At 59.4% G+C, this 26,089-nt stretch overlaps 2 protein-coding genes across 12 annotated transcripts in view, besides 4 other annotated features; one reads left to right on the top strand and one right to left on the bottom strand.

Moving 5' to 3' along the window:
- The window catches only part of LRPAP1 (LDL receptor related protein associated protein 1), a 28,811-nt gene extending 15,210 nt beyond the window's left edge, over positions 1-13,601 (top strand). For both annotated transcript variants that reach the window (NR_110005.2, NM_002337.4), the window contains exons 6-8: positions 1,015-1,097; positions 2,285-2,461; positions 4,177-13,601. Coding sequence is in view for 1 of the 2 variants with exons in the window: in NM_002337.4 (NP_002328.1) it covers positions 1,015-1,097; positions 2,285-2,461; positions 4,177-4,239 (323 nt within the window). In the remaining variant the exon portion in view is untranslated. The remainder of the gene's footprint in view (positions 1-1,014; positions 1,098-2,284; positions 2,462-4,176) is intronic.
- Positions 400-1,019: an enhancer, noted in NCBI's record as "H3K4me1 hESC enhancer chr4:3517921-3518540 (GRCh37/hg19 assembly coordinates)". NCBI's record gives its function as "activates a minimal SCP1, AML or CMV promoter by ChIP-STARR-seq in primed H9 embryonic stem cells {active_cell/tissue: H9 hESC(primed)}" and the evidence as "EXISTENCE:reporter gene assay evidence [ECO:0000049][PMID:30033119]".
- Positions 1,285-2,484: an enhancer, noted in NCBI's record as "P300/CBP strongly-dependent group 1 enhancer chr4:3516456-3517655 (GRCh37/hg19 assembly coordinates)". NCBI's record gives its function as "activates an origin of replication core promoter dependent on BRD2, BRD4, P300/CBP, MED14 and CDK7 cofactors, with strong dependence on P300/CBP, by STARR-seq in HCT116 cells {active_cell/tissue: HCT116}" and the evidence as "EXISTENCE:reporter gene assay evidence [ECO:0000049][PMID:35650434]".
- Positions 7,165-8,364: an enhancer, noted in NCBI's record as "MED14-independent group 3 enhancer chr4:3510576-3511775 (GRCh37/hg19 assembly coordinates)". NCBI's record gives its function as "activates an origin of replication core promoter dependent on BRD2, BRD4, P300/CBP and CDK7 cofactors, and independent of MED14, by STARR-seq in HCT116 cells {active_cell/tissue: HCT116}" and the evidence as "EXISTENCE:reporter gene assay evidence [ECO:0000049][PMID:35650434]".
- DOK7 (docking protein 7) overlaps positions 15,731-26,089 on the bottom strand; it is a 38,177-nt gene continuing 27,818 nt past the window's right edge. For 5 of the 10 annotated variants that reach the window (NM_173660.5, NM_001164673.2, XM_047450079.1 and 2 more), the window contains one exon: positions 22,731-24,454. In NM_173660.5, coding sequence (NP_775931.3) covers positions 23,712-24,454 — 743 coding nt within the window. In that variant the 3' untranslated portion in view covers positions 22,731-23,711. Of the gene's footprint in view, positions 16,522-16,809; positions 16,963-18,053; positions 18,820-20,350; positions 20,394-22,730; positions 24,455-26,089 lie in introns of those variants that run through there. The other 5 variants (NM_001301071.2, NM_001363811.2, XM_047450080.1 and 2 more) reach the window with 2 other exon arrangements.
- Positions 24,090-24,611: an enhancer, noted in NCBI's record as "H3K27ac-H3K4me1 hESC enhancer chr4:3494329-3494850 (GRCh37/hg19 assembly coordinates)". NCBI's record gives its function as "activates a minimal SCP1, AML or CMV promoter by ChIP-STARR-seq in naive H9 embryonic stem cells {active_cell/tissue: H9 hESC(naive)}" and the evidence as "EXISTENCE:reporter gene assay evidence [ECO:0000049][PMID:30033119]".

Below are 26,089 nucleotides of genomic sequence, written 5' to 3'. Positions count from 1 at the left end.
GTGCTGCTGTCACCTGAGTGCCCTTGGGCAAGACCCCTCACCACCCACCCCCAAACCCAGGCTCCCTTAGCCTGACCTGGTGCTGGTGACTGTCAGCCGTAGGCTTTTGGCCGTAGTGCTGGGGGCTGGACCACCTTGTAGGCCTGCGATGCAGTTTGCTGAGTTCCTGTGCTGGAGAGACCCGGATGAGCCTGGCTATAGTCCATGCAGGAAAGGGCGACTCAGCCCCACACACTTCTCTTCCCACCTCGGGCTGTCCCCAAGGCAGTTGTGTCCAGCGGCTCCTGCAGTTCTCTTGCGGGTCTGCCTGGGCCTTCCAGCAAGCCCCACCAGCCCAGGGTCCTCGGGGTCCTGAGCAGGAAGGGGTCAGCAGAGGAGGGAGCAGGGGCCACTGTTGCGGGGCTCCATGGGCAGGCGGCTCTGGACTACTCACTCCTGGTTGGAGAGTGGTGACAGCCCCGGAGTCTCTCACTGCGTCCCTTCGTGAGCACCAGGGTCCAGGAGCCGTCTTGGTTTGTTTGGCTCCTCCCAGGAGCCCGAATGTTTGACTTTCACGAGCACAACATCCTGCTGGAGACCCTGAGCAGGACCGAAGGGAAACGGCCTGTGCCTGCGTCTGGACCTGGCTGAACTTGCAGGTGCCCCCACCCGAGGTCCTGGCAGCCTCTGCACACAGGCCACGTCCATCCTCTGCCTCCTGCTTCAGAGGCAGCCAGGGCGGGCTGTGGCGCTTCCCAGGCTCTGATGGAGGCAGGTGTTTCTGGACACAAAGGAGAAGCAGTTGTTTGGCCAAGGGGACAGAGAAGCCACATTTCAGCGAGGTCATGTGAGCTACTGAGCAGATGCCCTCTGTGCCCCATAAGACTTTGAGTGCACGCACCCGTGTTTCACACACATGCAGGTCGCGCCTGCAAACCCTCATAGGCTCCACGCACACTCAGCGTGGTTGCCGCGGGGCTGGCTGTGGTGTGCACCCCGGGTGCTGCTGAGGCCACTCTTGCTCCTCCCCTGCAGAGTTCGAGGAGCCCAGGGTGATTGACCTGTGGGACCTGGCGCAGTCCGCCAACCTCACGGACAAGGAGCTGGAGGCGTTCCGGGTAAGGAAACACGGCCCTCTCCTTCTAGCTCTCTCCTGTGGTGAAGATTCTCTTGCAGTTTCCGGGTAAGGAAATGCAGCCCTCTCCTCCAAGCTCTCTCTCTCAAGATTCTCGCAGTTTCTTCCTTAACCACTCGGTGAACCTGCTTGCGTTTTCCTTCTCATCTGCGTGGGAACTCGTGTTTCAGGGGCGGGGCCAGGCTCTGGAGGGAGGGGCTTTGGTTCTTTTGTCCGTGTTCACGTCTGAGCGTGGCCTTGGTGCGGGTCCTGTGGATGGTCAACAGTTGGTCGGGACCCAGCCACAGCCTGGGGGGAGGGGACCAAGGACACTACCGGGATCGTTTAGGGGTGTCACCACTTCCTGAGATGGAGGCCCAGGGAGGGAAGGAGACCACCTCAGGTGGCAGGGGCTCCTGGGGCGTGTGGAGTGCCAGATCATTCTGAGGGTGGAGAATTCATCAGCTCGGTGAGCACCCAGCAGGGCTGTGAGGAGTGGGGAGTCCATCGGGGGTCCTGGGTGGGCAGCCTTGAGTATGGTATCCGGCCATGAGTTCACCCAGGGTCCCTATAGCTGGTGTCTGTTGGGAGGGAGGTGGGTGTGGTCCTGCCCTCATAGGACTTGGGACTTTCCTGGCCCCAGGAAGGGCCCTTAGCACCTCCCCCAGAAAGGGGTCAGGAGCTTCCCTCTGGGGCTGGGGCACCTTAGCTGGCCGCAGGCACGTGCATGGGGCTTGGCAGGTGGGGCCACATGGAGGGCCCTGGGTCTGGAGCGTGGGGTCAAGGCAGGGCAGGGCACCTACAGGAGCAGGGACAGAGCTGCAGTCCAGCAGCAGTGGAGCCCAGGCAGGCTGGGGGCAGGGTGCAGAGGCAGCCACCACAGAAGCACAGCCCCTGGACATGGGGTCTGGCTGGGAACGAGCTGGAGGCCCCCTAGATTCGGGGGGCGGGGGTGCCATTTGCAGAGACAGGGAAGGGGTCGGCTTAGGGCTGCCAAGGAGGCGCGGGCTGGGACCCGTTGCTAGTGTGATGGCCTCCCAGCTGCCGCCCCCTCATTGCCCATGTCACCGCAAGGCCTGTCCTGCCCCGGGTATGGCGCCGTCCTTTGGCGTCCTTGCAGTTCACCCGGGACCACAAGATGGCGTGGCGAGCACGGGAAGGGAACACTCACCTATGGAAACCTTGTTCCAGGAGGAGCTCAAGCACTTCGAAGCCAAAATCGAGAAGCACAACCACTACCAGAAGCAGCTGGAGATTGCGCACGAGAAGCTGAGGCACGCAGAGAGCGTGGGCGACGGCGAGCGTGTGAGCCGCAGCCGCGAGAAGCACGCCCTGCTGGAGGGGCGGACCAAGGAGCTGGGCTACACGGTGCGCACGGGTTCCAGGACCGGGGAGGCCACAGTTCCCCTGCAGGAAAGATGAGGCCGCCCACATGCAGCTCAGGGCTTCCTGTAGATGGGGTGTGGGCCCCACGCTGCTGTCTTCCCTGTCCGAGTTGAACCCCAGGGCCACAAGTGTGTGGGGCACTGAAGGCCACAGCAGCCATGCTAGGGGAGCCCCCCGGGCTTGTAGTGCAGTCCCCCGACCCTCAGGTGAGAGCGCAGGCCCCGGCGGGCCACTGCCTCGTCCTCCTGTGACCAGGATGGGGCGTGACCTGGATACCCACAGCCAGCCCATGAGTCAGGGCACTCTCCAGCCTTTGAGACAGGCGAGCCTCCTTCCCCACAGCCCCTGGGATGTGAGGGGAGGAGGGGCAGAGCCCAGGAGAAGCTGAAGCCAGCGCACAGCCTTGCCACAGAGGCACAGAAAACCCTGGAAGCTCATGCCAAGTTCTTTCTGGAGGGAGCTGGGGCTCAGGAGCCCCATCTGTGCCTTTTAAACTTTGAACTGCAGGCATGTGTTACCGATTCAAAAATAGCAAAGGCCTAAAAAATAAATGAAGGTAGAAGTTCTGATAGGAGAGGGTGGTGCGGGTCTGCCTGGCAGAATGTGCAGGAGAGCAGCCTGTGGCCCTTGCCCGTGGGCAGGAGCTCAGGTCCAGGGTGAGCACCACCATGTGGGGTTTGCAGGGCGCTCCCGCGAGACGCGGGGATGGAATGCTAGCGTGCACCTAGCTTCACCTGACCACGGCAAAGCTCGGTGTTGGTTAAGAAAGCCGTGTGGCACTGCCTGAGGCACCCGCACCGTTGGGGCAGAGGTCAGGGCCGCTGAGAGAAGGGACCTTCGGTGAGTTATTCACCCTGAGCCACGGGCTTCTATGTGGAGAGGGAGGTGGCGCCCACGAGCAGGGTTTTGTGAGAATCTGGGGAGAGCTACAGTGACCCCAGCCCAGGCTGGGCTGACGCAGCACCTGCTGCCACTGGGGTGGTATCTGTGGGGATGCTCTGGGCTGTTGTGATGTGAGGAGCTGGAGGTCCCTCTCCTTCCCTCCCAGGCCCTGAGGAGGAAGGCGCCTTTCCCAGAGCTCTGTCCCAGTCTCTCTGGTCATTGCTTTTAAAAATAACACTGTGGGGCTGGGCACAGTGGCTTACACCTGTAATCCCAGCACTTTGGGAGGCTGAGGTGGGTGGATCATCTGAGCTCAGGAGTTCGAGACCAGCCTGGGCAACATGGTAGAACCCCATCTCTACCAAAAGTAGAAAAAATTAGCCGGGCGTGGCGGTGGGCACCTGTAGTCCTAAGTACATGGGAGGCTGAGGTGGGAGGATCACTTGAGCCTGGGAGGCAGAGGTTGCAGTGAGCTGAGATCATGCCACTGCACTCCAGCCTGGGTGACAGAGCGAGACCCTTTCAGTAAGTAAATAAATAACACCATGGGCCTATCACAGAGACCCTGAGCTTTCCACTTCAGCATGAACTGCTCCTGGCTGGTGGCTCTTAGCGTTCTTTGGTGGGATTTTCTAGTTAGTACTGAGCTGCTTTTGTGATTTGAGCATTTCTGGATGGGTGTGGAATTGGAAAGTCAGATGTGCAGGGCTTGCGCCTTTTCCTTTTGGATCGCGCGTCTCCTGACATGAGGCTGAGCTCACAGAGCTGGCCTCGAGGCGCGCTGTCCCCAGCTGATGAGACGTTTCTGTCCACAGGTGAAGAAGCATCTGCAGGACCTGTCCGGCAGGATCTCCAGAGCTCGGCACAACGAACTCTGAAGGCATTGGGGAGCCCAGCCCGGCAGGGAAGAGGCCAGCGTGAAGGACCTGGGCTCTTGGCCGTGGCATTTCCGTGGACAGCCCGCCGTCAGGGTGGCTGGGGCTGGCACGGGTGTCGAGGCAGGAAGGATTGTTTCTGGTGACTGCAGCCGCTGCCGTCGCGACACAGGGCTTGGTGGTGGTAGCATTTGGGTCTGAGATCGGCCCAGCTCTGACTGAAGGGGCTTGGCTTCCACTCAGCATCAGCGTGGCAGTCACCACCCCAGTGAGGACCTCGATGTCCAGCTGCTGTCAGGTCTGATAGTCCTCTGCTAAAACAACACGATTTACATAAAAAATCTTACACATCTGCCACCGGAAATACCATGCACAGAGTCCTTAAAAAATAGAGTGCAGTATTTAAACCACCCGCTTGTTGGCTGGTCACTAAGTGTCCTGGTGGCTGGGGCCGGAGCCAGTGCTCTTGAAGGGATCGCGTCATAGCCAGCTTCCCCTCTGGGCCCTGTGGGTCTTTGCAGCCAACCTCCTTTTCCCGTGAGACGGCCCGGCCTGATTTAAAGCCAAGAGCGCTTGAGTTGAGTTTGAGGGGAAGATGTGGAGCGTGTGGTTCTGTGGACAGTCAGAGACTGTGGCCTGGGGGCAGCGTCTTTCAACTCTCACCTCTGCAGCTCAGGGACCTCGGGAGACCTCACCAAACCTGCAGGGCCTCCGTGTCCCTAAGTGTGCTGTGTAAATGCCCCATCTCATGGGGGAGAGACAGCCACGGAGGCCTTCCTCTGACCATAGCTGATGGACTGGCGGTTGCTCAGGTCCGGCTCCGAGAATGTTCCTGTGTCTGAGCCTGGAAGAGGCTCGGGTCTGGCTCCAGGCGTGGTTCCCTTCCCGTGTCTGAGCCTGGAAGAGGCTCGGGTCCGGCTCCGAGCGTGGTTCCCTTCCCGTGTCTGAGCCTGGAAGAGGCTCGGGTCCGGCTCCGAGCGTGGTTCCCTTCCCGTGTCTGAGCCTGGAAGAGGCTCGGGTCCGGCTCCGAGCGTGGTTCCCTTCCCGTGTCTGAGCCTGGAAGAGGCTCGGGTCCGGCTCCGAGCGTGGTTCCCTTCCCGTGTCTGAGCCTGGAAGAGGCTCGGGTCCGGCTCTGGGCGTGGTTCCCTTCCCGTGTCTGAGCCTGGAAGAGGCTCGGGTCCGGCTCTGGGCGTGGTTCCCGTGTCTGAGCCTGGAAGAGGCTCGGGTCCGGGTCCAGCTCCGAGCGTGGTTCCCGTGTTTGAACCTGGAAGAGGCTCCACCAGGCGTATTGTGTTTTGACTGCAGCTGGATCTTGGCTTGACTGTTGAGATCTGCCAAACATCCGCTAAGCTATCATTTCTGAGAAAGGTCAAGGCTAGAGGCAGCATGTCGGGAGTTGGCGCATCAGGGTTGGAAGGGCCCCAGGGTACAGCATGTGGGTGCCTGTTCCTTTGTGGACTTGTGTGTGTGTGGCTGGTGGGGCGGGGGGTGGATTCTGGTTCTTTTTTTTCCCATTATCCTGAGAGCCTTAAGGTACTCAGTGTGTTGGTGAGACTCAGCCCTGTCATCTAGCAGAAGTGTGTTCCTTTTCATTGCTGTATAGTATTCCATTGCATGACTGTCCTGTGCTCTGATTTTAATGCACTTTATTGTGGGTGGATATTTGAGTTGCTTCCTTTCTGGGGTAATAACACTCACTTGGAAATAGCTGTGGTGAACACTCGTGTGGGGGTGGGGGTGGGGGCCAACTCTAGGAGCACCTAATGGATCTTACGAAGCGTGTTGTCCAAGTATAGAGATGATTCCAAAGTGGTTGGACTGTGTTTCTTTCTCCCAGCTGGGTGGAAGGAGAACACTAGTGGATTGCTGAGACTTGGTGCTCGGTATTTTTAATTATGGACAGCCTGGCTGGCGTTTTGTGGTGTCTAATTGCGGAGTAGCGTGTCTTACTGTATAATGGCCTCTTTTGTATGTGGGAGACCATGGTGTTGAGGGGAGGCAGTTACACAAAAAACCCAGATACCGAGTGTTAGTTCCATGGGTGTGGCTGGTCATGGTGCGCACTCACGAAGGATGTAGGTGATGCCCTCCACTCCGCAGAGCCAGTCCCACAGGGGTACCCATTCTGACTCCTACCACCGCAGCTCCCTACCTCCCGCCTGCCATGGGTTCCACGTGCATGGCTCTGGGCAGTCTGTGTCTTTGCGTGCGTCTGTGTATGTCTGCGTGTATCTGCTTACATTCGCTCAGCATCTGAGATTCACCCAGGCTTTTGCGTGGATCAGCGGCAGACTCCTGATTGCCGCGTGGCGGCCTGTTGTGTGGGTGTGTGCCGCGTGTGTATCCAGTCCCTACTCAGGAGTGTACGTTTCCAGTGTGGGTTGCAGTCAGGATCCATTTCTCCCTTAACTTTCAGATTATTTGCTGCATAGGCTTTTTTCTCCTAATTTGGCGCCTTTGTCAGAAATCAACTGACCTACCTGTGTGGGTCTGTTTCTGTTTGTCCTTACGCTCTTGCCATTGCCACACTTTAGACAAGGTCTTGCTCTGTCCCTCAGGCTGGAGTGCAGTAGCGTGATCTCAGCTCACTGCACCCTTGACCTCCCATACTCCAGCAATCCCCTCGCCTCAGTCTCCTGAGTAGTAGCTGCGACCACAGGCGTGTGTCACCACACCCGGCTGATTTTATTTTTTTTATTTTTATTTTTTTTGTAGAGACGGGGTTTTACTATGTTGCCCAGGCAGGTCTTGATCTGGGCTCAAGTGATGCTCCTGTCTCAGCCTCCCAAACTACTGGGATTACAGGTTGTAGGTGTGAGCCATGGTGCCCGGCCGCCACACTGTCTTGGCTACAGTTGGGTTTATAATAAACCCTGAATCGAGGTGATGTGCATTTTCCAACTCTTCTTTTTAAAGATTCTTGTGGCTGTTTATGTCCTTGGTGTTTCCATATATGTTTTACAATCAGTGTCTCAATTTCTACCAAAAAAACATGCCTTCTGGAATTTCAATAGCAATTCCCTTGAACGCATTTTTGAATACCTTTTCTGAATGTCTTGAATACATGTTGGGAAGAATCGGTGTCTTAACAGTCTCCAGTGTCCACGCGTTGACTGCCGTGTGTGACTCCAGTCGGCGTCTCAACAGTCTCCAGTGTCCACGCGTTGACTGCCGTGTGTGACTCCAGTCGGCGTCTCAGCAGTCTCCAGTGTCCACGCGTTGACTGCCGTGTGTGACTCCAGTCGGCGTCTCAGCAGTCTCCAGTGTCCACGCGTTGACTGCCGTGTGTGACTCCAGTCGGCGTCTCAGCAGTCTCCGGTGTCCACGCGTTGACTGCCGTGTGTGACTCCAGTCGGCGTCTCAACAGTCTCCGGTGTCCACGCGTTGACTGCCGTGTGTGACTCCAGTCGGCGTCTCAACAGTCTCCGGTGTCCACGCGTTGACTGCCGTGTGTGACTCCAGTCGGCGTCTCAACAGTCTCCGGTGTCCACGCGTTGACTGCCGTGTGTGACTCCAGTCGGCGTCTCAACAGTCTCCGGTGTCCACGCGTTGACTGCCGTGTGTGACTCCAGTCGGCGTCTCAACAGTCTCCGGTGTCCACGCGTTGACTGCCGTGTGTGACTCCAGTCGGCGTCTCAACAGTCTCCGGTGTCCACGCGTTGACTGCCGTGTGTGACTCCAGTCGGCGTCTCAACAGTCTCCGGTGTCCACGCGTTGACTGCCGTGTGTGACTCCAGTCGGCGTCTCAACAGTCTCCGGTGTCCATGCGTTGACTGCCATGTATGACTCCAGGTATTGAGTTCATCTTCAACTTCTCCCAACAATGAACTGGAGTTTTCTGTGCATGTGTCTGGCATGTTTTCCTTTAGATCTAGTCCTAGGTGTTCGATATGCTATTGAGGACTGTGTATTTTTATTTCATTTGTCACCTGTGCGTGGTGCTTTAATCCTGTGCCCTAAACTCCCGCCTTGGCCATGGCGGTGTTTCTGTGGACTCGTGGGGTTTCCGTGTGCACACGCGTGTCCTCTGTCTGACAGTGGCTTTGCTTCCCCTTGTCAGTCTGTGCCTCGGCTTCTCACTGCACTGGTGAGGTGAGCCGGCGCTCGCTAATCTTATTCCCAGTCTCGGTGAACATGGGCTCAGTCTCTCCCGGCTCAGTGTTGGGTTTGCACTGGTGCACTTACAGGCAGAAGAGCTTCCTCATTTGCTGAGGGCTTTTCCTGAATCCGTGTTGAATGTGGTCAGCTGCCTTTCCTGCACCTAGTGAGATGCTCATGAGGTCACTTCCTTACCGCATTACTGTAGTGAATTACGCTGACTTTCATATGCCAAGATGACCTGGCATTTCCAGGTAAGTCCCTGTGGCCATGGTGCATTGGCCTTTTCTCTGCATGGCCAGATGAGATTTGCTCATACCGGGCTAAGGACCTCCTGTGTAGGAATGCTCTTGAGGGACACTGGGCTTGGATGTTCATTGTCTTGTCATGTGATGTGTCTGTCATGGTTTGATATTGCATTAAGTGGGCCTCCTGAAACAAGTTCTGCCATAGTTTGTATAGGATTGGCATTATTTGTTTCATAGAGATGTGATGGGTGAGGCCATCTATGCCTGCCATTTTCTTTTTGCTTAGGTTTTTCATTAAGAACTTGATTTTTAAAAATAGACATGAGGCCTGGCATGGTGGCTCACGCTTGTAATCCCAGCACTTTGGGAGGCCAACGTGGATGGATCACCTGAGGTCAGGAGTTTGAGACCAACCTAGTCAACATGGTGAAACCCCGTCTCCATTAAAAATATAAAAATTAGCAGGGTGTGGTGGTGCATGCCTGTAATCCCAGCTACTCTGGAGGCTGAGGCAGGAGAATCACTTGAACTCAGGAGGTGGAGGTTGCAGTGAGCTGAGATCACACCACTGCACTCCAGCCTGGGCAACAGAGCGAGGCTCTGTCTCAAAAAAAAAGACATGAGGCTTTTGGATTTTCTGTTTCTTCCTTTGTCATTTTTTTAAAGATAGGTTTGTCGCAGAATTTCATCTAAGTTATCAAAACAATTTACATAAATCATTCACAGTATCCTCTGTGCAGTGATGTCCATTCTCATTCCTGCTCTGGGCCATTTGTGTTTTCTTTTCCCCCTGATCAGACTAGCTAAGAGTTTATCATTTTTACAGATATTTTCCCCAAAGAAACCTACTTTTGGGTCCATTGATTTTTTTTTTCTATTGTTTTCTTTTTCATTGACTTTTGCTCTTTTCTTATGAATTTCCTTTCTTCTACCTATTTTGTGTTCAATTTGCTGTCCTTGTTTTAGGTTCTTTTGATAGAGGCTTAGATCATTGATGAAGAATATGAAAGAATGGGATAATACAGTTAAAAACTTGGTCTACTTATGCCCATTAGAGAAAACATTCTTAAGCACGCATGGAATCTTTTAAAAATGGACGAGGTACTAGGACCCAAAGCAAATGTCAGTAATTCGCAGATGATAATGTATAAATATATGATATGTAGGTAAATAATACAAATCACATTCTTTGGCCAGAGTGCAATTGAGGAGGAAATCAGTAACAAAAAGACAATTAAATCCATTTGATTCTTTTGTTTTCGTTTTGTAGTAACTTGCACTTCCCTGGTGCCAGAGGCATGACACCTTTTTGTCTGCTCTTGGCCATTTGGGTGGCGTCTTTGGGAAGGGCCTACTTAATTCTTTTGCCTATTTAAAAAACTGGGTCTTGGAAATCTTGTCTTTTTTTTTGAGTCAGGATCTTTCTCGCACAGGCTTGGAGTGCAGTGGTGCGATCATAGCTCACTGCAACCTCAAACTCCTGGGCTCAAGCGAGCCTCCCACCTCGGTCTTCTGAGTAGCTGGGACTACAGGCATGCATCACTATGCTCTGCTAATTTAAAGAAAAGGTTTTTTTTATAGAGACTGGGTCTCGCTGTGTTGCCCAGGCTGGTCTCGGAGTCCTGGTCTCAAGTGATTCACCTGCCTCCACCTCGCGGAGTGCCAGGATTACAGGTGGCGGGAGCCGCCACACCCAGCCTGGTCTTAGCGTTATTCCCAGGTCTAGGTGTGAGTCCTTCCTCAGATATGTGTTGTGAATAATTTCCGATCCTCTGGCTTGCTATTTTACTTTCTTAATGGTTATCTTTTGGAAAGCAAAGGTTTCCAGTTTGATGAAATCTAATTTTTATTTTTTATTTTTCCGTTCTAGTGGTCTTTCTATTTTCTCATCAAATTGAGACTTTGGGGAAACTACACAGCAGCAAACCAGGATATATCCTCTTAAAAACAGCTCGAGCCGGCCGGGTGCGGTGGCTCATGCCTGGAATCCCAGCACTTTGGGAGGTGGAGGTGGGCGGATCACGTGAGGTCAGGAGTTTGAGACCAGCCTGGCCAACATGGTGAAACCCCATCTCTACTAAAAATAAAAAATTAGCCAGGCATGGTGGCAGGCACCTGTAATCCCAGCTACTTGGGAGGCTGAGGCAGGAGAATGGCTTGAACCTGGGAGGCAGAGGTTGCAGTGAGCCGAGATCGCGCCATTGCACTCCGGCCTGGGGACAAGAGCAAGACTTCGCCTCAAAAAAAAAAAAAAACCCAGCTTGAGCCAAGTGTGGGTGGCTCCCGCCTGGAATCCCAGCACTTTGGGAGGCTGAGGCGGGCAGATCACTTGAGGCCAGGAGTTTGAGACCAGCCTGGCCAACATCACAAAATCCCATCTCTACTAAAAATACAAAAATTAACCAGGAGTGGTGGCAGCATCTGCCTATAATCCCAGCTACTCGGGAGCCTAAGGCACGAGAATCACTTGAAGCTGGGAGACAGAGTTTGCAGTGAGCCAAAATCGTGCCATTGCTCTCCAGCATGGATAACAGAGCAAGACTCTGTCTCAAAAAAAAAAAGCTTGAAAATTTAAAAATATCTCAATAATTATGAGATGCAGTGATTTTTTTTTTACTTCCCTAAGCTGGGTTTCCAGGTATCTCTAGGTTCAGCTCCTCCGGGGCTGGAAGTACATGAAGGGCAGCATTGCCCACCTTGACCAGAGCAGGCTCGGAGCAGGGCAGTGGAAGAGCTGGTCCCAGCTCAGCCCAGCCTGCTGGGTCAGCATCCATCTGAAAGGTCATCTCTACCCAGGAACTTGATGGCTTCCAGCTCCACCCTAACAGAAACCTCCCCAGCATCTTGCCGAGTTGTAATCCAGGGTGGTGGTATAGACGGTCTTGGGGTAGCTGGTATAGACGGTCTTGGCGTAGCTGGTATAGACGGTCTTGGGGTAGCTGGTATAGACGGTCTTGGGGTAGCTGGTATAGACGGTCTTGGGGTAGCTGGTATAGACGGGCTTGGGGTAGCTGGTAGTGGTGCTCAGGAGGCGTGTGGGCTGCTGGTGCAGCTGGAAGCGCACCTCAGCCATGGTGTTGTGCCAGGTGTGGTTGGGGATGCAGGGGACGTTCCGGCCGCAGGAGGCCCCTGCCAGGCACAGGCAGCTGCGCGGTGTGGAAGAAGTGCCGCTCGGAGTCATGCTTGACAAGGAAGTACACCTTACTCCTCTCAGTGGTGAGGGGTCAAACCACTCCTTCCCAGCGATGGGGCCAGCAGCCTGGCGAGGGCTAGGCACCGGGGAGGGATGCTGGATTTGGAGCTGGGGGGAAGGGGTCACCCTGCATTGGGCTCCAGTGCTCCGGGTGCCATGCCTGCTCCCCCACCACTGCCACCGCAGCCGCTGCGGGACACCAGGGGCTGGGGCTGAAGAGCAGCCTCGAGCTGGGCTGTCCAGGACACGGTCGCCCTTCTTCCTCGTGTCCGTGAGCTCAGGCACAACCTGCAGCTTAGCCAGCCCACTATGGCTGCGTGCGTGGCAGGACCCGGGCCACCATGGCTGCGTGCATGGTAGGGCACATGATTATTTTAGCCTCTGGTATCACTAACCATCCCTAAAGTCTCCAATGGTCTGTTCCTGTCTTTCCCTCTGGTTCACTTGTGGGGTCATGTTGTCTTCTGTTCTTTGTTATTTATTTTTTTCTTGAGACGGAGTCTTGCTCTGTCGCCCAGGCTGGAGTGCGTTGGTGCGATCTCGGCTCACTGCAACCTCTGCCTCCCAGGTTCATGCGATTCCCCTGCCTCAGCCTCCCAAGTAGCTGGGATTATGGGCACCTGCCACCATACCCAGCTAATTTTTCTGTGTGTGTGTGTGTTTTGTTTTTTGGTTTTTTTTTTTTTTTTTTTGAGATGGAATCTCAATTGCTCAGGCTGCAGTGCAATGGCGCAATCTTGGCTCACTGCAACCTCCACCTCCTGGGTTCAAGAAATTCTCCTGCCTCAGCCTCGCAAGTAGCTGGGATTACAGGCCCCTACCACCACAGTGGGCTAATGTTTGTATTTTTAGTAGAGACAGGGTTTCACCATGTTGGCCAGGCTGGTCTCGAACTCCTGACCTCAGGCAATCCGCCCACCTCGGCCTCCCAAAGTGCTGGGATTGTAGGCATGAGCCACCATGCCTGGCCTAATTTTTCTGTTTTTAGTAGAGACAGGACTTCACCATGTTGGCCAGGCTGGTCTCAAATTCCTGACCTCAAGTGATGTGCCCACCTCGGCTGCCCAAAGTGCTGGGATTACAGGCATGAGCTTCTGTGCCCGGCCTGAACTGTTAAGTGTTTGTGAAGAATTATTTGGGGGCCTATTTGAGAGCTGTTATATGGATCATCCTCCTGGAGAGGGTTCTTAAGCCTCTGAGACCGGGTTTGGGGCTGAGGCTTTCTGACCCACACAAGTCATGCTGACCCCTGAAGGGCCGCAGGCCAGATCTTGCCAGGTGAGCACTTTCCCCGCTCACATTCAGGATAGGGCGAGGGGGTTGGTACCGATTCACCCTCAGGGCCTAGATTTGGGGGCTTCAGCTTGCTGCAGATAGGTGCTCCCTTCACTCTCACCTGAGGCTGGGCTGGAGCCTGGTGTCTGCCCCACCCTGCTGGTCAGCCCCCTAGGACCTGAGCCCCGTAAGCCTGGACTGGCCACGCCCTGGGGCAGCAGCACTGGGTGCTTGGCGCTCACGACCTTCCTGGGCCCCTGGGTCCCTCACTTCTCCCTTGTTTCTACCTTCCTGGCTTGTCAGATTCCCACAGCTCTTAAGGAGAAATTCAGTATTTACTGCAGCATGTGTTTTCAGTGTGATGGTTCATCTAGGTACCCTAGCCTGTCATTGCTGGAGTTGGAAATCTCTGTTGTCTGCTGTTGTTTTGTGAAACAAGCGCGTGAGGTTATAAGTTTCCCTCAACGTACCACACTAACCACATTTCCCTAAGTTTTGATGTGTAGTGTTTTCACTGCCATTCAGTTCAAAATATTTTCTCATTTCAAGTATGATGTCTTCTTTGATCCATGTGTATTTTTAAGTTGCTAAGTGTACTTACTTTGGCCGGGCATGGTGGCTTACGCATGTAATCCCAACACTTTAGGAAACTGCGGGGGGGAAGGATCACTTGAACGCAGGAGGCTGAGGCTGCACGTCACAGGGAGAGACGGGCCGCGGTGATGTACGAGCTTCCTGTTGATAGGCAGTTAAGTTGGTTCGGGATAACGTGGCCTGCCTGGCACGGGTATTCCCAGAGTCACAGATGCTCACCCGTGCCAGCGTTGGCTGCTTGGGACATGGGGACGGCGAGGTCCCCACACCCCACATGTGAGCTGCTGGTAGCTGGGCTGAGCCCAGGTCCCATCCGTGTGTGGGGCGTGAGTGTGCGGTGCCATCGGGTCTGCACGGGCCTCGCCTCGTCCCGGACGCTCCAGGCTTCCTGTGGCACGGGTGCCGAGAGGGACCAGCCTGGGCCTGCTGAACCGAGGGGGTGGTCTAGGGCAGAGGCTCCTGCTCTGACAAAAGGGAAGGTGAAAGGCAGGAGCACCAGGAGGGGCAGCACGAGGACAGGGCGTGGGGTGGCAGCCGAATGGGTGGTGTGGCTCGAGGGCAGTGGGCCAAGGCCGGGGCAGTCTCAGGCCCAGGGATGGAAGCCCCATGCGGGCACAGGTTGGAGTCCAGGGTGCCCGAGACACGATGGCCCGTGTGCTCCACCTCCTCACATCTTCAACAGCTTTGCAGAGATGACCCTGTCAGGCTTTGGCTGCTGGTCACAACTCCAGGGGAAGGTCAGGCTTCCTGTTCAGTTTGTCCAGTCACAGCTCTGGCCTTGAGTGGCTGTCCTGGGCCAAGGGCAGCTGCCCTGAGATCAGAGCAACCCCGCCTTGGCCAGCATCGTCCCTTCCCACGGCTCCTCCACCACACAACTGGGACCCATGGGTGCCAGATACAGCGTGGGCCATCACAGCCTCCCCGGGCACTCTGCTGGAGGCCTGGGTGTACCTGAGCCCCATACCACGCCCACCCGTGGTGCCCTGGCTAGGTCTTACTCTGACCCCTGCTTCCTGGCTTTCCACAGCCGTGGGACCAGCCCCAGCCCCACATCCACACTTCGTGTGGCCATTTCCTCAGGACATGGCCTGGCCACTCCATTGTGCCGAGAGGATGTGGCCCAAGGCACACCCAGACACACTGGGTCTAGGCTCCAAACCCGCCCCCACAGCCCCACGATCCCATCAGCAGCAGAGGGGCTGACCCTTTCTCCCACTTTGTGAACAGGAAGCCTGAGCTCCAGCAAGCTAGGGTCACGGGGAGGGGTGGGGCTGTGCCACCCAGGTTGCGTGTCTGAGCTGGTGCATGTGGCCAGCCCCGGAGGTGGACATCTCAACTCTGCCACCCTAAGGGCCCGACACGGCTGCAGCCCTGGATCAGGGTGCAGGCCATGCCTTGCCCCAACTTGCAGCTGAAAGTCTTGTCCATGGACCCTCCAGGCTGAGAGCCCAGCCCAGCCCTGCCCTGTCTGTCAGAATGCTCCCCAGGGCCTTTGCGTCGAAGCGGGAGATCTCTGTCCTGGCCCCAGCTGGCTCCGGTTGACCCTGCATCCTGCCACCTTGACGCCAAGCGTCCTCAGCAGTCACATGCAGAGCGGGGGCGCCAGGAGGGCCAGTGCTCTGAGCCTGCCCACTGAGGGCCCCGCTGAGCAGCAGTGGCAGCTGCCTGCCATACCCGGGGCAGGCCAACCACAGACTCTCTGGGTCCTTGGTGGGCTCCTGGGGGAGGGGCGGGGGAAGGACGGGCAGGAAGATGAAAGAAAGGGACGAATACGGATGGAGCCATGCAGAGCAGAGAGCCCCATCTCCAGGAGCAAGGCAGGGGGCCCGCCCGGTGCTTCCTCCTGCCACAGGGGTTGAGGGCATGCAGGACGCCCACCACCTATGCACATAGCCCCGTCACCTCACCCACCCCCAAGCCACAGCACCGCACCGACGCAGGAGGAAGCCCCAACCCCGTGCCACCAAGGAAGGCAGCTCTGCTCGCCCCAACCCCGAGCACCCCCAGGTGAAGACATCAGACCCATGTCCAGGAGCAGAAACCAGGAGAGAGAAAATAGGCATTGTCAGAAACAGAACAGTCACAATGGCTCTTTACATGACTGGCTGTAATAGGTCCCAAGAAGTGGAGCGGTCAGGTGGCTGGGAGAGTCCAGGCTCCGTCCCCAGGTGCAGGGTGGCGGTGGCCCAGGCAGGACAGCCGGGAGGCGGGGAGGGGATTCCGGGAGTGTCTGAGCCGCCAGTCTCAGGAGCGGGCATGGTGCCGACAGTGGGAGCGGGCACTGGGTCCTGGCTCTGCAGGGCCACAACACCCAGGTGAAGGGATGAGCATTTTGCCAGGACACGGCTGTCATCCATGCAGTCACCCCCAGGGTGAGAGGGCGGTTTGCATCCCAGGCACCACAAACCATGCTCCCAAACTCCTGGGCAGCAGCCTCTGCCTGAGATGCCACAGCAGCTACCAGAGCTGCCTGATGCCTGGAAGCAGGGCCTCAGTCAGCCTGGGGTCCAGAGCAACTCTTTCAGGCCGAAGGGTCAGCCCCGGACACCTGTGAGGCAGGAGGCCTGGCCGTGGGCCCTGAAAACTTCCTGTTTGCACCATGGCCCGGAGACCGGCCATGCCTGCTCCTGCGACTGGGAGCTCCCTGGGGACCAGACCACGCCCAACAGAAGGGGCTGGCCTGCCGGGGGCCACGGGGCCGCACAGCGCACCGGGTTTGCGGTCAGCTCCTGGCGCTGTGACCTCACTGCGGGGCTGCCTTCCTCTGCTCCAGCTCCGACAGCTGCTCCTCCCGGGCCCGTGCGTGCCGCACCCCCACTCTGTGCGCCGTCTCGGTGGCCATGATGTCGATCTGGGCGTAGAGGGAGGCGCCAGCCCCTGAAAGAATTCTGTAGTGAGCGGCAGCCTGCGCCCCGAGCCACCCAGCCCTGTGACCCTGCCCTCCACACCAGTCCCCCAGCCAGGCCCTCGGAAGCATCTGAGTGGGGACACCCTCAGGGGATGTGGCCTGGCCAGGGATGGAGTTGGGGACATTTGCCTCCTGGGGGGAGGCTGTAGGAAAAGCTCCCTGGCCAAGGGCTGCTGGGTGGGGCTGGGGGCTCAGGGCCCTGAGGCTGTGGTCCCAGCCCCCAATTGTCAGTGCCTCCACGCAGGGCGGGGACCCACCTCGGACACCCTCGCTGGCCTCCTGGAGCTCCAGGCCCATGTAGTGCAGCTGCTTTCTGGAGGATGGGCTGACGGGGATGTTCACGTAAGTGGGCGACTCGCCGCGCGGCCTCTCTGGTCCTGGGCTGTCCACAGCCACGGGTCCTGGGGATCCTGTGGGGGGAGCGGCTGTGAAGCCCCGGTGGGGACCGAGAGGGGCACAGATCTCAAAGATTGTGCAGTAAAGAGCTGCCCACCCTGCCTAGCCCCTCCTCCCCACTCCGCCTCTCCTGCACCTTGGAAGTTCCCGCTCCATGTTCCTGACCGTCCATCTTTGGCCCAGCGCTGCCCCATCCTGAGGCCCCCCCCACACTGTCCACTCCTGGTCCAAGTACCCACAGAGCAGAAGGAAGCGCTGTCCCCTCCACTGTGCCGCCTCCCCTGCAGGAATTGCCGACCCCCCCATGGGCCCCCCAAGGCCCACTCTTCTGTCCCTGCGCCCCTCGCCCCGCACCTTCCCAACTCTCTCCACCAACCGCCCCTCCTTGGCTGTCCCAGCACCTTCTCTACCTAACCCTCCCGGGCCAGCACAGCCCTGCTTTGTCCTGGCCCCCAGCACCTCCCCCTCACTGTCCTCCGGGGTCACCCCCACCTGCTGCAGGCTCCAGGGACCCCCTCCTCTCCTGCACACAGGCCCACGCTCCCTCTGCATCCCCTCCAGGACACCCAGGTGCCCCACACCCTCTCCCCCCTCATAGGAGCTACTCCCTTCCCCCGACCCCCTTCCTAATAGCTGATGGTTCTGTCTGCACACCCCATTGGTGCTGGGGAGGGCAGAGCAGGAGCAGGATAGGAGGGGACCCCACAGGCCCGGCTGGGTGGGACTTGAGGCAGGCTCCCACCTTAGGGGGTTGGACGCACACCGGCCCCTCCTCTGCAGGCCTGAGGGCTCCGCACCGTGGGCACCCAGGTTCTACAGGAAGGACCCCGTTCTCCAGTGCCTCCTCCCATTCTTGTCATCAGGACCTCGTGAGGGAACGCACAGCCACGTGAGGCAGGGGAGGTGACAGCAAGTCCCCCCCCATTCCCTGAGCCAGTGGCTGGGAGACACAGCCAAGCCCCACCCACAGTGACCTCCCCACCCCCAGCACACTCCGAGCCCTCAGAATTCAGGTGGGGGCTGGGATCCAGCGGGTGACAGCCCTGCAGGGTCGGCCTCCCTGAAACACCTGCCTGTCCAGGGGAGGGGCCTGACTCAAGGCTGGGCCTCCCTGCCCCAGGGATGCATCCTCAGCAGACCAGGTTCTCCTGTGGCCACCCGCTGCCCGGCACCTGCCGCAGACATCCACTCTGCCTGGCTCCTCTCACCCTTGTCCCCGTCACTCCCTGCAGCAGGGCTAGGGGTGAGGAACTTTCACTTGCTTGCTCCCAGTGGGGAAACTGAGGCCAGGGAGACCTGACTCGCTGATTCTGCAGGCAGCAGCTGGGACAGAGCGAGATGGAGCCCAGGTCGACGAGGGTTCGCTCACCTGATTCCATGAACTAAAGCAACCAACACAATTCTGCCCCAACCCTGCCTGGCCCTGAGGCCCTGGGGAGACCCCCCTCCTGCAAATGTGTGGTCCTAGAGGGCTGGTCCCCTCGGAATGCCAGGACCCCTTCATCGAGATGAGCCACAGAACATAGCGGCCAAGTTCTGGTGCCCAGGCAGGCACCTGGGCCAGCAGGGACAGGGCCAGCAGGGCCAGCTGCCTAGAGGAGGGGGCATGGCTGAGGGGCTAGGCCAAGAGGGGGTGGTGGGAGAGGCAGGTGGGGTGAGGGCCTGGGGAGAGCTGAGGGAGCGCCGGGGCCTGGCGTCTGGAAAGGGGGCCTTGAAGCCAAGGGGCAGGGCCGGGGCTTGCCCACGGTGGGGCTGGACACCCCCCTGCAGCCTGGTACCTCGTTTTAGGATTGCATCCGTTCTTCCAAGTTTGCTCCCAAGGTTGGGCGGTGAGGGGTGAGGGTGGAAGCAGGAAGGAGCATGAGGCCTGACTGCAGGGAAAGGGGACGAATGTTCCCAACACCACCCGGAGTCACACGGGGGCTGTAAGCAGCGCTGGGCCAGCAGTGTGTCCGTATCTGTATCTCCCCCAAGGCCACTGGCTCCAGGGCCCTCAGTGCTCCTCCTCCCGTCCCCTCCTTGGGACTTGGATTTTGCTTCGGCTTCTGTGAGCATCGCTTCCAGTACCTCGGATACTCTTTCAGTGAAGCAGCAACCGGGAATCGGCTGGCCCTTCTGCACTCTCCTCCCAGACCCCGCCCTGGGCTGGCAGCCCGACGCTACCACTTGGGCCTGGCTCATCTCTGTCCCATGACAGACCCCAGGCGCCCCTCCTGAGCCCCCGGCCTCTGTGGAAAAGATTCACATCCTCCAGCAGATACTGGGCCTGTCCCCTTGATCCCCACACCTGTGTCCCAGGGCACCCCTGTCTGGGTAAAAGACATCTGAAGGGTACGGGTGGCCTCGGGGAGGCAACAGCAGGCTGCCCAGGAGGACCCTTGGGGCAGGGCTGGCCCCACCACCTCTGGTCTGGTGGCTGCCTCAGCACACTGGACTGCAGGGATCGGTGTCCAGCCCAGGGCCAAGGCAGACTGGTGGGGGCTTTCCCAAGCTGCCCCTGCCTGCCTGTGGCTCCGCCCCCATCCCTGACTGTCCCCTCCAGGCCTGCCTGGGCGCCTCCCCCACCCTGGGTGTCCTCTCCAGGCCTGCCTGGACCCCGCCCCCCTGTAGGTGCCACCTGCCTGGGAAGAAGGGATTGAGGAATCCAAGGTTTAGCCCGCAGTGGCTCCTACTCCACAAGGAAACAGGCACAGAACTGGCCCTGATGCCACCCATCTACCCCAGGCCAGCCGTCCTCATCTCCAGCCTCTCAGCCCTGCCCAACCTTCAGCAGGGCTCTGTCCCCAGTGACTGCCAGGCTTCTCTAGGGAGACCCTGGGGATCCGTACCTTCCCACTGCCTCCCTGCCTGGCCCTCCCTCCCAACCTGGCCCCAAAACTGCACCTGCCAGGGCACCAATGCCCTGCCCTTCGCCGAGTCGCTCACCACCAGCCCAGCCTCCACAGGCCCCCACCGCTGTCTGAGGACACAGCCCCTCCTCCCTGAGCTGGGGCTCCTGGACCCCAACCCTGACTGCCTTCCTGCCATGCCCCCTCCCAGGAACAGGTCCACACTCAGGGCTTGGGGACCCGTGGACCCCAGTCTGTGTCTCCCAACCTTCAGTCCATCCTCCAGCAGCCTGCCCTCTACCCACTGCCCTGCTGTCCACACCTGGGCTGGGACTCACCCCCACTGCCCACTGCCACCCAGCAACCACTGTCAACTGTCACCCAACACCCACTGCCACCCAACATCCACTGTCAGCCAACAACCACTTTCACCACATTGCCCACATTCCCTGCTGGCAGTGGGCCCCCCACCCTCCCCCCTCCCCATCTAGTCAAACTCTGGCTGCCATCTGCGCCCACCCAGACTCCCGCCTTCCTGTCCCCGAGCTCTGGGGGACTGGCTCCAGGTGCCTACCTGAATGTGCTGTCGCAGGTCCTGGGGCTGAGGCTGCCGCTCCCTAGACCAAAGAGAACCTGGGTCAGTGCATCCTTCAGTCTTCCCCTCATCCTGTGCCCGGGGGGCCACCGAGAACAAGGACACTACCCCCCAAGAGTGACACAGGCTGGGGGACCTGGGTCACCTGCAGGGAGTCCAGCCCGCCATACCTGATGCCTTCTCTCCAGGGCCCTTTGCCCCACAGCCCCCAGATCTCCGGGCCACCCACTGCCTTGACCACCCAGCCTGGTGGTAGCCCCCATAACCACCCATGGGGGAGCTGGAGGCCTCGGCATCTGGGGAGGGGGCGGTTCCCAGCCCTGAGGCCCAGTCCAGCCCCACTATTTTGCTATTAGAGCTTTATCGGAGGAGTACCACGCCCATGCAAGGTAGTGTCTGGGCTCCGACCTCAGAGCTGAGCGGCTGCTCCGAGGGTGCCTGTGATTTCCTTTCCCGTCCTTGAGGGTGTGGGCCCTGCTCTCTGCAGCTGGTGGGGAAGGCTCCGCAGGGGGGTGCCCCTGGAAAATGCCCCACTGGGAGGCCCCAGATGAGATGAGCAAAGTTCCCTGACACTGCAGGCGACCTTCTCCTGGGCCTCTGAAGTGGGCCGTGCCTAACGGGGTGCCCCAAGTCCCTGGAGGAGCCTATGGTGGGGTCTGAAGGGCGCTTGCGGGAGGGACAGCGGCCCACGGCTGAGCAGAGGCTTCCTGCCCACCTCCAGCCCAGATGAGCAGAAGCGGGGCCAGCCCAAGACAATGTCCCACATGGGTTCCGGCAGCCGGCAGCTAGAAAGAAGGCGCAGCACCCTCCTGTTCTGAGGGGCCTCGTGGGTGGGGGCTGGGAGGCCGGAAATGGGGGCTCAGCACCTAGCACTGGTGCAGGCCAGACTCAAGGGCAGACAGTCACAGGGCTGGGACCCTCACACGAGGCCCCCTGAGCAAACTGAGCTGGTCTAGACTTTGAGAACCTTTGACAACAGGCCGACACCCCCTGAGCTCATCACATACACAGGCTCCTGAGAGGGCCCCTCCCCAGCTGCTCCCGGTGGGGGCAGGCGGGTAGGTGTGGATGGTGCAGAGCCCGAACCAGCGAAGGTCCACCCTGTCCCCTGCCTGGCCAGGCCCAGGTGCTCCAGGGCCGTCAAGAAAACAGAACCAGTGTCTGTCCCATCTGGTTGCCCCTGGCCTGAGGAGGAGCCCCCAGCCTGTTGGCCACCCACCTGGGAACTGGGTACTGAGGCTGGAGACCCTGGGCTGCCGTAGCAGGCGGTGGCCGGAACCTTCAGACGCCCGGAGCGAGGCCCACTCACGAGCATCGTGAGGAGAGGCAGATGTCCCGGCCGCATCCCCACAGGGAAAGGCTGTCCAGGGGCCCAGCCCCGCCAGGCAAGAGGCCCCATGACTCCAGGCCACCGCTGTGGGGTGCTTCAGTCTGGTCCCATCAGAGGGACCTTGCCCCCACTAGCCTTGGGCAGGCGACCCGTGGGAACACAGAGGGCTGAGCGTGGATGATGAAGACTAGCGGGAAGGGCCTGGCTCCCCAGCAAAGGAGCCACAGCCTCACTCGTCCTGCAACAAGACTGGCGCGGCCACCTCCGGAGGTGACAGCAGCAGGGGTAATGGTGACGGGCAGCTATTGAGCGCCTGAAGAGTGACCTCATCAGACCCTCAGTGCAGCCCAGTGAGGCGGGGTCTGTCATCCCGTTTGCAAGAGGAAACTGAGGCTCAGAGAGGGGCGGGGCTTGTAGGGTCACCCAGCCAGCAGGTAGTGGATGTGGCCCAAACTCAGTCCCCAAAGCCCACGCTTGCTCACCAGGCACTGCTGCAGAAGCCCTCCAGAACTCCCCGCTCAGAGTCAGTCCCTGACAGGGTGGCAGGCAAAGGGACAGGCAGGCACCCACAACAGGGTGGCGGGTGAGGGGGCAGGCAGGCACCCACACAGATGTGCAGGGGTGACTGAGACAAGCCTGGAACTCGGCCCCATGTAGGGGAGACAGGCAGGGCAGGGGCCCTGGGCTCAGAGCCAGCCCCCTCCTGAGGTCCGCCCTCACCGGGACCTGAGGAGCCCCATGCCTGAGGGACTACTGCAGACCCCACTGTGGTCTCCAGGACACACCCAGGAATGTGCCACACGTGCACACACCACACATGCACATCCCAGCCCGGGGGCTGCCCGGAGCTGCCTCTCCGCACACCACAGCATTCAGGCCCAAGGCTCACAAGACAGATGAGGCCTCTCGCACTCTCTGAGATAAAGGCCAGGGAAGCCGGGCCCGGGGACTTCGCATCCAGGCAGAGGCCCCACGTGGAGGGTGGGCGAGGAGGCGGAGAGGGCTGGGCAACGGACTAGGACAAGGTGGTAAGGAAAGAACATTTTATTTCCAGTCTATTACAAACAGTGTCTGGGTTTAGAAACAGCTGACAGTGAAGGGACAAAGAGGTGTTCACAGGGAGCTGCTGGGCTGTGGTCAGGGCAGGCTCCAGGCTGTGCAAGAGGAAGCCACCCAGGGCGGGGGACAATGGGCCCAACACAGCCCCACCTCCGACGCAGGGGCTGAGGCCTGGGCCAGGGGAAACACAGGCCAAGCCAGCCTTTGGCCCTGCGAGGAGGTTCAGACAGGAGCCAGCAGAGCTCCCACCAGGGGCCCGAGGCACGGCGCCTCTCCCAGTGGGGTCAGCAGGCGAGGCTGCTCTGAGGACACCACCTGCTCCCGGAACCTTCCCACAAGGGCTTCACTGGGGAACAGTGGGGCCCAGAACCCAGAGACCCCGCAAGCCACACAGCCTCCTGAGCTTCAGTTTCCTCCCATAGATGGGGATGAGGCCCAGCGCACACGGAGCCCAGGGGGGCTGGGCTGGTGGAGCCCAGGTGGCCGGAGCCTCTGTGGTAGCTTGATGCTTAACAGGTGGTGTGACTGCCCCAGAGAGGTGATGGGGAGAACCGGCCACCCCCGAAGGGGGCGTGAGGCCCAAGGAGGACAAGGCCAGCGGCAGGGCCTCCAGCCCTTGGCACCCCAGTGCAAGGCACGAGCCAACAGAGGTGCAGCACTCACCTGATCCTCAGGGGTGGGGGACACGGAGTGAAGCAGCTGAGCATTGGGGCTCTGGTGACCCCGACCTGCCGGACCCAGAGCCCCTGCCTTCCAGAACTCACCTCCCCAAGTCAGCCCCTTCCTCCGGTGGCAGCCACAGGGCGCGCCCTCCAGCTCCCCTCTCCGGGAGACCCCCGGTCCCTCCCACAGAACACAGAGCACCAGTCTGCAAGGAGGCTGGCGCCACTTCCTCTGCCATCTGGGGGCAAATTCAGCCCCTTTGCAGCCGCGGGGCGGGATCTGCGGCTCTCAAGGAGGGGGGTTTACCTTGAGTCCTCCACAGACTGGACATGCCGAAAAGAAAGCCGGGGGTGGCCCCGCGTGGGGGCCGCCTGCTTCCCAGGGCTCGCCAGGGGCAGGGCCAGGCAGTGTGGCCTCGCTGCCCTGGGGGGCCTCCATCACCAGGCCCCGCCGTCTCGTGCCCAGCCAGCCAGAGGGACACCCGGCGGACGTCTGGCCGCCTGAGTCCCTGGCCGCACTGTTGCCGGGGCTGCCCTGTGAGGGGGGGCTGTGGTCTCTAGGAGCCAGGCAAAGGCTGCGTGGTGTGTCATAGTGGGCCCGCAGGGAGGTGGGCACCTGGTACTCGACTGTCCCGGGCAGGCAGGTGCACAGGCTGGGCTCGGGGGCCCCCGCTGCTGGCAGGCTGAGCAGTGAGCCCAGTTCATCTGTGGCCCGCCACACGTCCAGGCTGCTGCCCGCGTAGGACGAGAGGCTGCTGGAGTAAGAGGAGTGGCTGCCAGTGGCGATGCCGCTGTCCGAGGAGCTCTGGCGGCCAACCTCCTGCAGCTGCCGCGGACGCAGCGGCTTGGGGGGTGGCCTTGAGGCACCCACCATGGCTTCCCCGGCGGCCTGGGCAGCTGCTGGTCTAGGCCCCTCCTGTGACGTGCTGGCTGACGACGAGGATTGCTCTGGCCATGCGGTGAGCCGGCTGCTGGCGCTGACGTCCAAGTGACTGGCCTCTGAGGATGAGCTGGACAGGCTGCGGTCATCCCCTGAGACAGAGCAGGAAGCCAAGGCAGTTGTGGGGGTACAGGGGTCTGGGCAGGACGTGGCTGATGCCTGGTGGACCCCCACAGGCCAGCACTCTCTGGTCTCGCCCCACCCCTTCCAGCCCCCAAGCCCCGGGGCCTACAGCAGAAACCTGGCTTCACCAACAACAACCCCTCTACCCCTCATCCACTCCTGTTCTTTGTCCGTTCCTGTCCTTCTGCCACCTGTTCTCCTACGGCCTGCGCCCCTCCCTCTCAGCACCCCTGCCACTACCTTGGTCCCCGCCTCCTCCCCTTCCCTAGAGCTCCCCACCCTCCCTGCCTAACACCCCACGCTCCATACCCAGCCATCCCGACTACCTTCCAGGGCCACCTGGGGCAGCTTGCCCTCCGCACCATCACGGCCCCAGGCTGGTCTGGACGTCCCTTCCCCAAGAACTTCCCAGGCCCTGCCAGCCTGGACACGAGGCACCAGCTGTGCCCACACACCTCGACTCGCCCCCTGCCCTCACCATGCTGGCGTCCTTGCCTCACTCCCAGTCTCCCTCCCTGCGGGGGATGAGAAGCACACCCAATGCAGATCCCAGGCTGCCTCCCGCCTGCCAGGCCAGGCCCCTCCCGTGCTCTTGGGAAAGCCACTTTCATCTCTGCTGCGTCTCTAAGCTGCCTGCTCTGCCTTCCAGGGCTCCCAAATGGAAAGCAGCTGTGAGTCACCCCCAGGAAGGCAAAAGCTTATTGCAAACCTGAGTCCCCTCCTCCTGGGGCAGGGCAGGAGGGGAGATGACCACTGTCTGCTTGGTGCCCTCTGGGGGACAAGCAGTGATCAGAGGGCACTGGCCGGACCAGCACGGCTCCTGCACTTGGCCGTGGGAACACAGGTCACCCATGCAGCCACCCTTCGGGGAGCACAGCGGCCCCTCCTGCTCTGCCAGCCCCTTCCACCACCACCTCTCCCCACAATGGCAACAGAGCCAGAGCCACCGGCAGCTGAGGAGGTGCCTCTGCTCCTGGGCAGCCAGCTCACCTGCCTTAGAGCCTTTTGTCTGGGCACAGAAGGTAAAACCAACATGCAGGGCCTTGGTCTCCCCCAGCCACAAGCTGGTGGGCAGGAAAGGATTCAAAGGCTCTCAGGGCAGAACCACCTTTCCCGTCAGCACCTCAGACCAGAGTTTAGTAAATGTGGAACCATAAGTGAAGGAAGGAATGAATGAATAGGTGGGAGAAGGAAGAAATGAATGAACAGACAGAAGGAAGGAATAAGCGGAGGGACAAGGAAAGAATGAATGAGTGAGAGAGAAATTGAGTAGGGAGAGAAGAAAGAAATGAATGAGCAGGGGAAGAAGGAAAGAAGGAAGCTGGGGTGAGCAGGAAGGAATGAACGAGCAGGGGGAGCAGAGGAAGGAAGGAACAAGCAGGCGAAGAAGGAAGGAATGAATGAGCAGGGGGAGAAGGCAGGAATGAATGAGCGGGGGGGCGGAGGAAGGAATGAATGAAGGAATGAATGAGCAAGGGGAGAAGGAATGAAAGAGCAGCGGGAGAAGGAAGGAATGAGCAGGGGGGAAGGAATGAGCAGGGGGGAAGGAATGAATGAGCAGGAGGAAGAAGGAAGGAAGGAATGGGGGGAAGGGAGAAACGAAT

The sequence above is a fragment of the Homo sapiens genome, chromosome 4 (genome assembly GCF_000001405.40).
Source record: "Homo sapiens chromosome 4, GRCh38.p14 Primary Assembly".
Lineage (NCBI taxonomy): Eukaryota > Metazoa > Chordata > Mammalia > Primates > Hominidae > Homo > Homo sapiens.
The sequence above is the reverse complement of the archived record's forward strand: the minus strand, read 5'-3'. Positions and strand labels throughout refer to the sequence as shown.